Source organism: Homo sapiens, chromosome 5 (genome assembly GCF_000001405.40).
Source record: "Homo sapiens chromosome 5, GRCh38.p14 Primary Assembly".
Classification (NCBI taxonomy): domain Eukaryota; kingdom Metazoa; phylum Chordata; class Mammalia; order Primates; family Hominidae; genus Homo; species Homo sapiens.
In genome coordinates, this window is record NC_000005.10 from 43,563,158 (window position 1) to 43,579,948 (window position 16,791).

At 41.0% G+C, this 16,791-nt stretch overlaps 1 long non-coding RNA gene across 1 annotated transcript in view; it reads right to left on the bottom strand.

The window, feature by feature from the left end:
* Nucleotides 1–10,027: 10,027 nt before the first annotated feature.
* The window catches only part of NNT-AS1 (NNT antisense RNA 1), a 30,046-nt gene continuing 23,282 nt past the window's right edge, over nucleotides 10,028–16,791 (bottom strand). The window contains exon 3 of the long non-coding RNA NR_073113.1: nucleotides 10,028–12,778. This is a non-coding gene — a long non-coding RNA (NNT antisense RNA 1). The remainder of the gene's footprint in view (nucleotides 12,779–16,791) is intronic.

Here is a 16,791-nt window from a genome sequence, read left to right on the forward strand (position 1 = left end):
GTTGATTTTTCAGTAAAACTTTAGAGAGCAAAGGGGAAGTTATTCTTTGGCCCCCGCAATAGGAATTCATTCATTCACTTGTTAATTCAACAAATACTGATTTTGTGTCTACTTCATGCCAGCAGTGTTCCAGGTGCTGAGGATATGCAGGGGTGTGAGATTAGTAGGTTTGAGGCATATGAGACATGAAGCAGGGAAACAAGTTCGGTGGCTATTGCAGACGTTCTGGTGATAAATGATGGTGTCTAGTAAGGTGGTGCTAGTGGGTTTGGAGGGAAAGGCCACACTGAAGAGATGTTGAGGAAGAAGTTGACAGATTGTGTGTGAGGCATTAGTGAGAGGCCAGAGATCAGGGTGAGTTCCAGGATTCTGGCTTTGGTGCCTCAGCCTGTAAGATGGAAAATACCAAAAGGAAACAGATTTAGGGATAGACGCCAAGGAAAATTTCTGCTTTGGCCTCTGAAGTTTCACTGAAAAATTTGCTGACAAAAGGCAGACTAATTGGAGAAAAGACATACAAATTTCTTAACATGTACATGGGGGAGAACCATAGAGTGATCACTCCAACCCCTAATGGGGTTCAGAAGCTTATATACCATATTGAGGTGACAGGAAGAATGGGGGCTTAGATTGTGACAAAACAGGTTACAATGACAAAACAGGTTATGGGAGACAGAGATAAGAGGAAGCCTGGCTAGCAAAGGTGGTCTCGTTATATAGATGAAACCTAATAGGTAGCAGACCTCAGAGAGGCTAGATGGTGAATAATTTTTCAGAACTTTAAAGTCATCAGACTCTCAGTTAATCTTTTCTTGATATAGACATTGGAAGGCCTCAGAAAGAACCTGGCTGCATCAATACAGATTTTCTCTACAGATGCAGCTCTCCCCCACAAAAGGCAGCTTTGCAGGGATACTTCTATTTGCAGGCCCTCTGAACAGCCATGGCAAAATATGTCAAATAAATACATTTTGGGGTGAAATATTTTTATTTCCTTCAGTCCTCATTTTGAAACTTTAAGAAGGTTTACATATTAAAAAGCCGAGTTGATAGCTTTGGAGAAATTTGGATCAGAGGTTTTATTAGTCTATTCTCATGCTGCTGATAGGCATACCCGAGACTGGGTAATTTATAAAGAAAAAGAGGTTTAATAGACTTACAGTTCCACATGGCTGGGGAGGCCTCACAATCATGGAGGAAGGAGAAAGGCATTCTTACATGGCAGCAGACAAAAGAGAACGAGAACCAAGGAAAAAGGGAAACCCCTTATAAAACCATCAGATCTCGTGAGACTTATTTACTACCACGAGAATAGTGTGGAGGAAACTAACCCATGATTCAATTATCTCCCACCACCTCCCTCCCACAACACGTGGGAGTTCTGGGAGCTACAATTCAAGATGAGATTTGGGTGGGGACACAGCCAAACCATATCAGAGTTTCTTAGGTATGTCAGAGGCATTGAAACCAGAGAGACTTTGTCTTGAATGAGGGCTGGGAAAAAGCCATCGTTCAATGCAGGCCTAGGCTGCATTCCCAGGAGGTTAGGCATTCCTAGCCTCTAGATGTTTATGGTTAAGGAAACAGATTAATAATGTTTACTAAACAGACCCAGGCCCAGCAATGTCCTGATATCCCCATATCTTGAGAACAAAAGCATTCCTGATTTTGCTTTAAAGATAATATCAATTCTTGTAAAATATAATAATTAAGAAAATTAATCCTTTATCACAAACCCTGTAGTAGAGCATATATCCCTGTGATTTTGTTTTTGTTATCCTATACATAAACAAGTATTGTACTTAGGGTGGGTGCATTCCTCCTCCTCCTTTTGGGAATGCCCTGCTCTGTCTATGGAGTAGCTATTCTTTCACTCCTTTTTAAATAAACTTACTTTCACTTTGCACTGTGGACGCACCCTAAATTATTTCTTGTGCAAGATCCAAGAACCCTCTCTTGGGGTCTGGATCGGGACCCCTTTCCAGTAACGTCTTTCTGGTGAACCACAAAGGGATTATACTGAAGAGACCCCTGACCCAAAGGAAAATCATCTGTGCACTCCACCAGGTGGCCGACTTTGGGTAAGTGGAGTGCATTTACCTAGGTAGAGGATGGGATTAGGTTAGAGGCCCAATTTAACTCTCTCCTAAGACAGGGAAGGTTAAAGGCCCCTCTTAATAAAAGTCAAAGACACTTGACCGAACTTGGGTTCAGGCCCAACTTAGGAAGGTTGGAGTCCCTCCCAAGGTTTAGGGGGTTGAGGCCCCATTCAGTAAAATCCCTCTTGGCTAAAAATGGGTTTGGCACCGTGGGATGTTAACTGCTATGTTCTTTGTATTAATCTGCCTTGTCCTCTTTGCTGCACGAATCAATTTCTTGGTTGCTGTCTCGGTTTCACTGTCATTTTCAGGAAACTTCATTTAATTGGTCTTAGGGATTTGAACTTTCTCTTCCCCTGTGTACCTCCTGATTTCTGTCCACTTGCTTTTGAAACATTGGGAACAAAATGCATTGCAGGATTTGGTTTTATTATATTTGGCTTATTTTAAAACTCTAGCTGCTAAGGTCCCATCTCTAAAACTGCTGATTGAGATTTGGTATTTAACAGGTATGAGCAGTAAGATTAGATAGATGTGGTTATGTTTTGCTGCAGCTATGCCCACTAGGTGTAATAAAGAAGCACTAGGATGGTGATATGGTTTGGCTGTGTCCCCACCCAGATCTCATCTTGAATTGTAGTTCTCATATTTCCCACATGTCATGGGAGGGAATGGGTGGGAGGTAATTTAATCATGGGGGCAGTTACATTCATGCTGTTCTTATGATAGTGAGTTCTCACCAGATCTGATGGTTTTATAAGGGGCTTTCCCCACTTTTGGTCGGGACTTCTCCTTGCTGCCACCATGTGAAGAAGGATGTGTTTGCTTCCCCTTCTGCCATGATTGTAAGTTTCCTGAGGCCTCCTCAGCCCTGATGAACTGTGAATCAATTAAGCCTCTTTCCTTTATAAATTACCCAGTCACCGGGATGTCTTTATTAGCAGCATGAGAACAGACTAAAACAGATAGAAATCAGGGGACTTTTCTCCCTGCTTTTTTGTTTCATTTGCACACTAAAAGAATTCTTTCCTTTCTTGGATTCAGGTAAATTGGCTTTGCTTGTCCAATCCATGCTACCATTGTTGCCCAGAACATGCTTGCTCTGGTCATCCCCAACTAAATCCTCTTCATTTTGTTTGCCTTATTTGACATTTATTTTGTCAGGTTTCATATTGTGGTTTATTTAAGATGCATGGCTTAGCTCATTTATGTTATTTGGCTTGTGTGAATAAGAGAATTCAGTTTTCAGCAGGGATCTCCTCATTAATGCAACTGGCCTTAAAACCTCTCCTATCCTTTTCAGTGGAACTTGGCCAGTGGCAAAACAGTCTTGTAGGTTTGGAACTTTTCTTCCAACATCACCTGCCTCCTTCATGGGAACCATGTTGTTGATTCCAAAGGACTCAATGTTAGAATGTATTCTTGAATGTTGGGACCAGTTTAAATTAAATGGGCTTAAGAAGAGGAAATTGGTGTTTCTATGTAATACTGTTTGGCCTTGATGTTATTTGGAAAAACAAGAAAAATGGCCACCTACTGGAACTACAGCCTTGAATACTATACTTCAACTCGATTTGTTTTGTAAGAGGGAGGGAAAATGGGATGAAATGCCACATGTTCAAGCTTTTTTGTTGTTCAGTCAGGAGAAAACCCTGCAGCAGGCATGTGCATGTTTGATGAGAGGAAAGGAAGAAAAAAACTAGCCACAATAGATGATCCCTTGATGCAAGCCCCCCAAGTTCAGTGGGCATTTTTGGGTGGAGCAGAACCTCCTCTGTCAGCTCTGAGTATTCAGTGCATTGGCCTCTTCTCCCTTTAGTCCACCTGGAAGTTGTACTGAAGCCCCTTCATCCCCTTCTCCTTACTTGTCTAGTCCTACTTTATACCCACCACCTCTTGAAGAATCTAGCCTTGCAGGTACTACTTGTAGTCAAGCCTCTTTTTAATCTCCAAAGGGAAATCTTTGTCCACTTAGACAAGTGGAGAACAGAGAAGAAGGCACTGTAAGAGTACATGTCCCCTTTTCTATGTCTGATGTGGCTCTATGTAAAGAGAAGTTTGGCCATTTTTCTGAAAAATTGAGGAAAATCCATAGATGAGTCTGAGTCTTTATGTAACTCTTAAGTATGCTAGACTTTTAATCCAGCTGCCTATCTGCCTGAACCCACAGGCACCCTATATCATTATTTTTTTATTTTTTATTTTTGAGATGAAGTCTTGCTCTTGTCCCCCAGGCTGGAGTGCAATGGCATGATCTCGGCTCACTGCAACCTCCGCCTTCCTGGTTCAAGCGATTCTCCTGCCTCAGCCTCCTGAGTAGCTGGGATTACAGGCACCTACCACCACGCCCGGCTAATTTTTGTATTTTTAGTAGAGATGGGGTTTCACCATGTTGGCCAGGCTGGTCTCGAACTCCTGACCTTAGGTGATCCACTCACCTTGGCCTCCCACAATGCTGGGATTACAGGTGTGAGCCACCACACCCTGACAATCATTCTTGTATACAAGTTACGGAGCAAATTTATTCCAGCTGGTCAAATTGAACGGCTAAGCCTCTAGATAATCCTGAAGTAGAATGGCTTATAGATGGAAGTAGGTTTGTGCACCAGGGAAACAGAAAAGCTGGGTATGCCGTTGTCAGTCAACATGAGGTAATTGAATAGAAGCCTTACCAGCTTCTACTTTGGCTCAAAAAGCAGAATTAGTAGCTCTTATTAGAGCCCTGCAATTGGAAAAAGACTTAAGAATCAACATTTACACTTCCTGGTACTTCATGCTCATGCTGCTATCTGGGAGGAACTGCTAAGGGCTCCCCTGTGCAACATCATTTGGAAAATTTAAATCTATTAGATGTTGTTTTGCTGCCCAAGAAGTGGGTGTAATCTGTTTCAGAATGCATCAAAAACGAGACTGTAGTGTGACAAAGGGAAACTCCTCTGCAGATGCTGCAGCTAAGGCCGCTGCATTAATGGAGCCAGCTGGACTTGTAGGCATATTAGTGCCCACCACCCCAGTAATGAGAGAACCGAGATGTACTGAGAGAAATAAGAATGGGCTAAAGGTCAGGGTTTAATTCAAGATCCTTCTGGATGGGTAATCAGTGAAAACAACTGTTGATACTGGGTGCTAATCAGTGGGAAATAGTTAAGTATTTGCATGATTCTACTCATTTGGGAAGAGATTCCCAATTTCAGTTAATGTCTCGTCTTTTTTTTTAGTAAAAGGCTTATTTAAAACAGTAAAGCAGGTAACTCGGGCCTGTAAACTCTGTGCCCAGAATAATCTGAATAACCAATCTTTACCTCCTTCTTCAGTAAGGTCTGTTCAGCTTAGGGGAACATACCCCAGTGAAGATTGGCAAGTAGACTATACTCAGATTACCCCAGGTAAAGGGTTTAATATTTAGTTATTCATCGACACCTTTACCAGTAGGATTGAGGCTTTCCCTACCCGGTCTGAAAAGACAATTGAGGTTTCTAAACTGCTATGAAGGAAACAATTCCTAGATTTGGCTTGCCTAAGAGATTGCAGAGTGATAATGGCCCATCTTTCATAGTGACAATACTCCAAAACATATCTTCAGGCCTAGGAATTCAGTACTGCCTTCATTTAGTGTGGAGGCCACAGTTTTCAGGGAAAGTAGAGCCAATCAAACACTAAAAAGGACTCTTGCTAAACTCTAACAGGAAACATCAGCAACCTGGCTGTCTTTATTGCCTGTAGCCTTGTTACAGATTCCAGTGGCCCCTCATGAGAAATCTGCAGCTCAGTCCTTTTGAAATAATGTATGGAAGGCCTTTCTTAACTACAGACTTCCTGATAGACATATATACTTTCACGCTACAAAGTTATGTAATCAACTCAGGACAAGTGCAAAAGACACCCCTTGGATATGGAAACCAAAGACTCCTTCCCCTACTAAGGAAGAGAATCCTATTATAACCCAGCTGGGAGATTGTGTCCCATTAAAAGCTTGGGAGGAAGGATCCCCAGCAGATCAACTTTCCCCAAATGGAAGGGACCCTAGCAAGTTCTTCTTAGTATCCCAACTGCAGTTAAACTTCTAGGAATAAACAACTGGGTCCACTTATCCGAATTAAACTTGTCTCTTATAACATCCCACAGGCCAACGGAACACAAGAGACTAATACCACTTATTCCTGTGAATCAACCAGTGACCTCTGGCTCCTGTTCAAAATAAACAAAAGGGATTGGTAACACAAAGATATGGATTGGCATCCTACTTTTGGGTATAAGATGGAATCACACAGAGAGTAACTTATTTGCTGAGTGGGCACAGACTTTAATTTCTCTACATAATCGGACAAACTGTTGGGTATGTGGAGAATTGCCACTTTCCTCTACTTCTGGTTTGCCCTTGAATATTCAACTGGCCAACCTAAGTTTATGGGGACTTTATTATGATTGGGAAACTGAATATTGTAAACATATTCTCTCTTTTCCCCGGTACCATAGCCACACAGGCCTTAGTCCTTTCCTCTCCTATGGAGAGAAAAAAAGGCACTTTTTAATGTAATTAGGAAACAGCTAAACTCCACCCCAACTTTAGGTTATACTGTACCTGATGGACTTAGGCAGATGACAGCTGTTCAAGTACTGGTATCAGGCAAAGGACCTCTTTGTTTTGAGAGGTATAATAATAGTCACCACCACACTGGAACACATGATATAGGATGGTTGCCGCCTCAACAACATAATCAGACCCTTCTTTATCAGACCACATTTGGTTGGGATGGCAACATAATTCACCAAAAACGGGTGCCTACCCTTCCCCTTGGGGATGGTTATGGGCTTGCGGAACCCACGGCTGGCCATACTTACCTTATAATTGAACTGGACAGTGTATGTGGGGTCATCCTTATCTCCCAGGACACATCCTCACCAAATTGGACTCTCTCTCATCTAACTGGGAAATTGTAAAGGCTCGGCATACGTGACAAAAATGGGCATTTTTGTGGTTCTACCTGTTGGCTATATTTTCCCCACAGGTGCCACGATGGATATTGAGCTGCGAGTTGAAGCCCTAGCCAAGCACACGGCTGCAACTTTCAATAATACTTACCATGCCTTACCTTCCTAACTTAGGAAACTTCTCAGATTAGGCAGGTGACCTTACAAAATTGTATGGCTGTGGAATTTTAACAGCAGCCTAAGGGGAAACTTGTGCTTTGATAAAAACCGAATGTTGTGTGTGTATTCTGGATGGTTTACATAATATTACCCAGCCTATGAAAGCTTTAGACACTCATATCTCTGTCATTGATGCGCTGTCAGTCGACCCTGTATCAACTTGGTTCCAAAAACTGCCTAGTTCTTGGCAAGCCTTCCTGTTTAGTTTACTTGGGATGATTTCATTTATTTTGCCTTGCTGTTGTGAATACATTGCTGTTGTACTTTTTGTGTAGGAATGCAAGATAAGCTTACTCAACGCTTTTTTAAATTGAACACTTGTTAATCTTCCAGATATCCCTTTTGCTGGGACTCAGAGTTACAAATGACCCTCACCATACTGACGCTTTCTGACTGAGCTTCTCTCTACCCTGAATATAAGAGACCCTAACAGGTAGGTAGGAATATCATTGCCCCTGTTCAGCATGAAGTTACAGAAGAGGGATCTTCATTCTTCTGCAACCCTTAGGATTACGGTTCCTCTTGTAAAAGGGATGGGGAAAATATGTCAGAAGCATTCGAACCAGAGTGACTCCATCTTGAATGTGACTCCATCTAGAAGAATAAGGCTGGGACTTGCTGGGCTGGATTCCCAGGAGGTTAGGTATTCCTAGCCTGTAGATGTTTCTGGTTAAGGGTACAGATTAAAAATGTTTACTAAACAGACCCAGGCCCAGGAATGACCGATATCCTGACATCCTGAGAACAAAGACATTCCTAATTTTGCTTTAAACAGAATAATATCAATTCTTGCAAAATATAGTAATTGAGAAAATTAGTCCTTTATCACAAGCCCTTGTAGTAGAGCACATCTCCCTGTGATTTTTTGTTGTTGTTGTTGTTGTTGTTATCCTACATATAAACAAGCACTGTACTTAGGGTGGGTGCATTCCTCCTCTTACTTTTGGGAATGCCCTACTCTGTCTATGGACTATTTCACTCCTTCACTTTCTTAATAAACTTACTTTCACTTTGCACTGTGGACTCGTCTCGAATTTTTTCTTGCGCAAGATCCAAGAACCCTCTCTTGGGGTCTGGATCAGGACGCCTTTTTGGTTACAGAAACAGATAGACAAAGGAGTGGAAAAACAAAAGGGATAAGCAGAAAGGAGCAAATTTGAATATATCATTTTATATCTTTTTTTATCAGTCTCTTAGTCCCGAGAATAGATCAGTTCAGTTAAACAGCTATGTCTCATTCCAGGGGGTGGCATTACAGATGGACTAGGACTCTATATATGAAGCGGCAAACAGATTTTTAATAAAAGGTGTTTCTATGAAAACAGAAGAAAAACAAAGGTTAATATCTACTGTAGACTATACACTAGTTTTTTGAGAGTCTCTGTAGTTCTTCAGATTGTAGTGTTAATCTGACAGAGTCTCCTGGTTGTAGTTTAAATCAGGTGTTGCAGTGAACTTTCTGAGTATTCCATACATCAACAAAGCATAAAAGCTGTTTATATATAAGTTGCTGTAGTGATTTTTCCCATAGTTTATTCAAGTTGTCTTGCTCCAGTCTGCAGGGCTTCAAGAAAAGCATAGTTTTAACTTCTACTTATTCCAAGTCAGAAACATAGGAGAAAAAAATTTAAATGTTAGCTTGGAGACTTGTAGCCAGGAAAGAATTCAAGATTTAGTTCAAATGTAGGCAAATAATTACAACTTAAAAACAATGGACAAAGCTAGAATCTAACAACAGGTATGCTATCATTTTCTTCTGAAACATAATTCTTCTCTCTCCAGTCCCCCTTTTCTATTAAAGGCAAATCATAACAGGACCAATTTATTTGCAAAATAAGTTTTAGTTTTATTATATTTGGCCTGATTATTTGCATAAAGTACAGCAAAAATAGTGATTGACCACATATAGGCTCTTTTAAAGTTTGGCTTTGTTGGAACTTTTTCATAAGGAATTTCACATTCAACTTTTAAAAACTCTCAAGGCTAAGAAGCCAAGACAAGGATTCACAATCAGACTGCACTTGTAATTCCTGTATAAATTGGATACACTCCTCTCTTGTCAAGGTTCCCAAAATATCCTGAGGCTCCTGGGCCTGCCAGAGAGTGACATTCTTTACTACCGCAAGGTCAGGAACCTTGTAAGGAAACTGTGTAGACAAGGTATCAGGCTAATTTTTCCAACAGGCTTTTTATAGGCTCTATAAAGTCAACTTCAAATCCTCAAAGCAGTCTGGTCATTAAAAAATTATGCCATTCCAATGAAAGCCTTGGCAAAATAATCAGTGTATCCAACTGTGTTCTGTTACAAAAGAAAACAGATTCCTATCGAATTTGTACAAATAACTATATTGCCAAAAGTGAAGAATACTCACAAATACTTTCCAAATTCTGGAGACATCAGGTAGAGAGAAAGGTTAGTGTTTCAATTGTTCTCACAAAAGTGTAATTTATCTAATTACTGTAAGCTATGTACAGCTCAAAAGAAAAAAACAATTTTCTTGACTCTGGAAAACAAAACATAAAAAGTATCAGCAATGTCTCAAACCAAAAAAAGGTTATGAAAATATTATTTTGGCATTTTATCAGTTCAGCCCCATGTAATTAACTTATTCTGCTTGATGTTGGATTAGCAATCTTCATTAATTTATTAGATTTTAAAAAATTATTTTAGAAGTTTTTAACTAGTCCAACGGTGTGAATTCCAAAGTTATCAGAAAACTGTGTTTAAGTGTGTGTGCTGTCAGGGCCCTTTCCATGGATTTTTTTTTTTTTTTTTTGAACAAGCAGATTTTAGGCTGTAGCCAATTACAAACCACTTTTGAAAAGAATCCAAGTAAAACAATAATCATCTGTGAATGACAAAAGACTTAGAAGAGCCATGATTACTGATGCAATTGACAAAGAAATTTCATTATTTCTGTGGTATACAATAATTTAACAGGATAACAATTATTACCAATAACATATAACAAGATCTATCAACATTTTAGCAATATGATACAATTTTGGGATGCATATTAATAACAGATTTATACAAATACAACTCAAAGAAAATTAAACAACATTTTTTATTTGATCAGCTTCCTGTATGATTTTAATATACCAAATTAGCCTAATATGTTTCTTTTGGACTTCCAGGGGCCCTATTTGGACTTCCAAGGGCTTTAATGCCCAAAAGTTAGCTTGAGGTCGAAAACATTTAAGTTAGAATTTTACATTTGATTTTGGGAAGTTTGTCAAATATCAAAGGTTTAAAACACTTGATCAAAATAAGATTACAGGTCACTGTAAGATAATAGTTATTCATTTAGCCAAACTGATAATTCAAAAATTTCAAAAAGCAAAAATTTTACTCTTTGACAGAGGGGAGATTCAGTTTTCCAAACAATCAAAAGACATAATAAAAACAGCATTAGGGAAATTCTCTCCTCTTATTACTAATATTTTTTGCAGTTTACTCAAAAGGTAAACAAAAATCTTTTACTATTTCTTATTAATGTATACAAAAATCTTGTTCAAAAGAGAAATCCAAATTCTAACTTTGTGCCAGTGTATTATAAATGCTAAAGCTAATTTTAATAAAGCCTTATAAACAGATCAATCCAATTGCAATTGTTTTCTTTTCCTTTTTTTGTTTTTTTTTGAGACAGGGTCTCACTTTGTCACCCAGGCTGGAGTGTAGTGGTGCAATCTTGGCTTACTGCAACCTTTGACTCCCGGGCTCAAGCAATTTTCCCATCTCAGTCCCCCAAGTAGCTGGGACTACAAGTGTGTACCATCATGCCCAGCTAATTCCTTTTGTACTTTGGTAGTGAGAGAGTTTCACTATGTTGCCCAGGATGGTCTCAAACTCCTGAGCTCAAGTGATCTGCCCATCTCAGCCTCCCAAAGTGCTGGGATTACAAGTGTGAGCTACTGCATCCAGCCTGCAATTGGTTTTGACTGCACAAGAAAAAACATAAAAAGGTTCCATGAACCTTTTATAACCTCTTATAATTGTTACGGTTTTATTTCTTTCCTCAATTTTCTATGTCCATTCAGTTTTAGGTCCTTAAAAAAATAGCAGAGATAGTGTAAACCTGTCTAACAAATAGACCCAGAAAAATATCTAAATTAAATTCAGAAAATGTTTCTATTTTATTTTACCCCAAATTTTAAACTATCTTCATTTACCACAGATTACTAATGCCCTGTGAACTTGAAAAGCGTTTGGGCTTATTTACTTAATTTATGAGTACTAATTTATTTATGTCAAGTTGGTACCATACAGGCAATCTATAAACATAGACACGTATCCATAAAATATAAACACAAATAAATACTTTATATCATTTTTTCTTTTTTTGAGACAGAGTTTCACTCTTATTGCCCAGGCTGGAGTGCAATGGTGCAATCTCGCCTCACTGCAACTTCCGTCGCCCGGGTTCAAGCCATTCTCTTGCCTCAGCCTCCCGAGTAGCTGGGATTACAGGTGTGTGCCACCATGCCTGACTAATTTTTGTATTTTTAGTAGAGATGGAGTTTCATCATGTTGGCCAGGCTGGTCTTGAACTCCTGACCTCAGGTGATCCATCCCCGCCTTGGTCTCCAAAAGTGATAGGATTACAGGCATGAGCCACTGCACCTGGCCTACATCTTTAAAATTTTAGCCACGAGACCAGTAAAACTCCTTAGTTTAAAAGGACAGTTGAATTCAAATGCAGCTTTGTAAATGGAAAGGTTACAGTTTGTCTGTCCTTCATGGCTGAAGATCTTACCAAGTTTTAAGAAAAACAGGATAGCAAATTTACATCTCAAAACAGAGAAAATTAAGCATTTTCAAGAAGAAGTTAGGGTATGTTAGAGAAAGATTAAAAATGGACAACAAGTGATATAGTTTGAGTATTTGTCCTCTTCAAATCTCATGTTGAAATGTTATCCCCAGTGTTGGAGGTTGGGTCAAGTAGGAGGTTTTTGGGTCATGGTGGCAGGTCCCTCATGAATGGCTGGGTTCTGTCCTTGTGGTAATGAGTGAGTTCTTATTCCATTAGCTCATGTGAGAGCTGGTTTTAAAAAGAGTCTAGTGTCTTTCTCACCTTTCTCTTGCTCCCTTTTTGGCCATGTGATATGCCTGCTCCTCCTCTTCGCCTTCCACCATGATTGTAAGCTTCTTTTTCTTTTCTTTCTTTCTTTCTTTTTTTTTTGAGATAGAGTATCACTCTGTTGCCCAGGCTGGAGTACAGTGGTGTGATCTCAGCTCACAGCAACCTCTGCCTCCCAAGTTCCAAGTGATCCTCTTGCCTCAGCCTCCTGAGTAGCAGGGATTCCAGACACATGCCACCATGCCCAGCTAATTTTTGTATTTTTAGTAGAGATGGGGTTTCACCATGTTGGCCAGCCTGGTCTCGAACTCCTGACCTCAAATGATCCATCTGTCTCCGCCTCCCGAAGTGCTGGCATTACAGGCATGAGCCACCGCACGCGGCCAATTGTAAACTTCTTGAGGTTGTCACCAGAAGCAGATGCTGGCATCATGCTTCTTGTACAGCCTGCAGAATAGTGAGCCAAATAAACTTTTCTTTATAAATCACCAAGCCTCAGGTATTCCTTTATAGCAACACAAAACAGACAAACACACCAATGTGACACAAAATTATAGAAATTCACATAGGATGTTACAATGAAAGATACAAATGAGCAGAGAGGAAATTCAGAAGCCTTTTAAAAATAACTAGCTAAGCCCGGGCAACATGGTATATAACTTTGTCTCTACAAAAGCAACAAAATTAGCCAGGCATGGTGGCGTGTGCCTGTAATAGCAGCTACTTGAGAGGCTGAGGTAGGAGGATGAGGACATTGCTTGAGCCCAGGAAGTTGAGGCTGCAGTGAGCTGTGATTGTGTGACTGCATTCCAGCCTGGACAACAGATTAAGACCCAGTCTGATATGGTTTGGATATTTGTCCCCACCCAAATCTCATGTTGAAATGTAATAACTGGTGGGAGGTATTTGGATCATGGGGGCAGGTCCCTCATGAATGGCTAGGGCTGTCCCCTTGGTGCCAAGTGAGTTTTTGCAAGATCTGGTCATTTTAAAGTATGTGGCACCTCCCCCCATACTCTCTTTCTCTTATTCCTGCTTTTGCTGTGAGATGTGCCTCCTCCCCCTTTTCCTTTCACCATGATTGTAAGCTTCCTAAGGACTCTCCAGAAGCAAATGCTGGCACTATGCCTCTTGTACAGCCTGCAGCACTGTGAACCAACTAAACCTCTTATAAATTACCCAGTCTCAGGAATTTCTTTATAGTAACTCAAGAATGGCCTAATACACTGTCTCAAAAAACAAAAACAAAAACAAAACGAAACAAAAAATACAGAAAACCCTACCAAAAACAAAAACAAACACCTAAATGTCAGAAAGTCATATTTTGGAGACCAATCTAGTCATATAGGTGGCTTCTAATTTAGTATCTGTTTTCTACTTAGACCACTGAGTTCTGGGCAGAGCCCATTAAGGAACAGGGCAAACAAAGCATTTGCAGTTTTTAGGGCCTAATATTTGTATATGTAAAAAGTAGGCACAGCTGGAAGACAGAGCATCTAGATTTTTAAAAATCAAGGATTCTACTTTTACACTGAACCCTGGGTCCCCCACAAAAGAGGGAAACACCAAAGGACTGGGCTGCACAGTGTTTCCAGAGTACACCTCACTACAAAGATGTCACCCTGAGGCTGGTGGGGGTGTGTGAGGCATTAGTGAGAGTGACAGATTGTGTGTCAGGTATTAGTGGGTGGGAGACCCATATCAATCAGCCCATTCTGTGATCAGCCCATCCACCATGGGATAGTTATTCCTTGGTGGTGAGTATTCCCACAGTCTCCATGTATTCAACTATGTCTTTTTTATAGAATAGAGCAAAGCAACAAGTAGCCTACATACAGTAATAACTATTAATTGCAACCACTGTCAGCTACCTCCAAAACTGCAGCCCTCACCAGTGACCCACCAGCCATTGCATACACAAGGTCAAATTCTCTAATAGGTCAAAGTAATTCCTTGAACCCCCAAAGCCAAAGAGACCAGGTAATGCAATGCAAAGGAGAGTGGAGCTTTAGACCTGATAAGAACTTGCCCATGACTCTTCAGACTCCACAGGAAGACAGAAGATCATTCCCATAAAGTGGGTGAGTGGTAGCTTTTCTATGTTTCTTTTTATTTATTTATTATTTTATTTATTTATTTATTTATTTATTTTTATTGATTATTCTTGGGTGTTTCTCGCAGAGGGGGATTTGGCAGGGTCATAGGACAATAGTGGAGGGAAGGTCAGCAGATAAACAAGTGAACAAAGGTCTCTGGTTTTCCTAGGCAGAGGACCCTGCGGCCTTCCGCAGTGTTTGTGTCCCTGGGTACTTGAGATTAGGGAGTGGTGATGACTCTTAACGAGCATGCTGCCTTCAAGCATCTGTTTAACAAAGCACATCTTGCACCGCCCTTAATCCATTTAACCCTGAGTGGACACAGCACATGATTCAGAGAGCACAGGGTTGGGGGTAAGGTCACAGATCAACAGGATAAGAATTTTTCTTAGTACAGAACAAAATGAAAAGTCTCCCATGTCTACCTCTTTCTACGCAGACACAGCAACCATCCGATTTCTCAATCTTTTCCTCACCTTTCCCCCCTTTCTATTCCACAAAACCGCCATTGTCATCATGGCCCGTTCTCAATGAGCTGTTGGGTACACCTCCCAGACGGGGTGGTGGCCGGGCAGAGGGGCTCCTCACTTCCCAGTAGGGGCGGCTGGGCAGAGGCGCCCCTCACCTCCCGGACGGGGCGGCTGGCCGGGCGGGGGGCTGACCCCCCCACCTCCCTCCCGGACGGGGCAGCTGGCCTGGCGGGGGCTGACCCCCACCTCCCTCCCGGACGGGGTGGCTGCTGGGCGGAGACGCTCCTCACTTCCCAGACGGGGTGACTGCCGGGCGGAGGGGCTCCTCACTTCTCAGACGGGCGGTTGCCAGGCGGAGGGTCTCCTCACTTCTCAGACGGGGCGGCCGGGCAGAGACGCTCCTCACCTCCCAGACAGGGTCGCGGCCGGGTAGAGGCGCTCCTCACATCCCAGGCGGGGCGGCGGGGCAGAGGCTCTCCCCACATCTCAGACAATGGGCGGCCGGGCAGAGACGCTCCTCACTTCCTAGATGGGATGGCGACCGGGAAGAGGCGCTCGTCACTTCCTAGATGGGATGGCGGCCGGGCAGAGATGCTCCTCACTTTCCAGACTGGGCAGCCAGGCAGAGGGGCTCCTCACGTCCCAGGCGATGGGCGGCCAGGCAGAGACGCTCCTCACTTCCCAGACGGGGTGGCGGCCGGGCAGAGGCTGCAATCTCGGCACTTTGGGAGGCCAAGGCAGGCGGCTGGGAGGTGGAGGTTGTAGCGAGCCGAGATCACGCCACTGCACTCCAGCCTGGGCACCATTGAGCACTGAGTGAACCAGACTCCGTCTGCAATCCCGGCACCCCGGGAGGCCGAGGCTGGCGGATCACTCGTGGCTAGGAGCTGGAGACCAGCCCGGCCAACACAGCGAAACCCCGTCTCCACCAAAAAAATACGAAAACCAGTGAGGCGTGGCGTCGCGCGCCTGCAATTGCAGGCACTGGGCAGGCTGAGGCAGGAGAATCAGGCAGGGAGGTTGCAGTGAGCCGAGATGGCAGCAGTACAGTCCAGCTTCGGCTCGGGAGAGGGGGAGGGGGAGGGGGAGGGGGAGGGAGAGGGTTTTCTATGTTTCTTACAGGGTCTTTAGATGTTCCCACAGATCCTTTTATGTGATATTCAAGACAGCAAAGAGAAAGGAGGAACAAAAAGCCAATGAAGTTTTACGCTTTTCTTAACAAAAATCATACCACAAGAAATGAAGCATACAAAAAGACCAAATATACAATTAAAAGAAGTTTCAGTAAACTAGAAAAATCCTCAGAAATAGGATCCCAAAGAAAAAAGGCAGAAAGGCCTTTAAATATATATATTTATATAAATATATTTTTGCATATTTATATACATATATTTATATAAATATATTTTTGCATATTTATATACACATATATTTATATATTGTAATAATACATTTATATATTATAATATATAATATAAAAATATTTTATCTATTATATATTTTATAATATTTATATATTATATGTTATATATAATATATAACATAATATTATACATTTATATAATATATAAATAAAATATAATATATAAATATATAACAATATATTTATAATATAATATAATATAAATTAAATATAAATTAAATATATTTCTATAAATATATAGGTATATATTTATATAAATATATAACTATATTAAATATATACCTATATATTTAATATAGTTATAATATAATATAATATAAATATATGTATATTATATATTTATGTATATAACGATATATTCAACATATATGTTGAATATTAGCTTCTAATTAAGCTGACTTCTGATCATAGAGCTTTTTAAAAATATATTTTCAGATCTTTTATTATTGGATTTTGGCTAGGACAAATAGC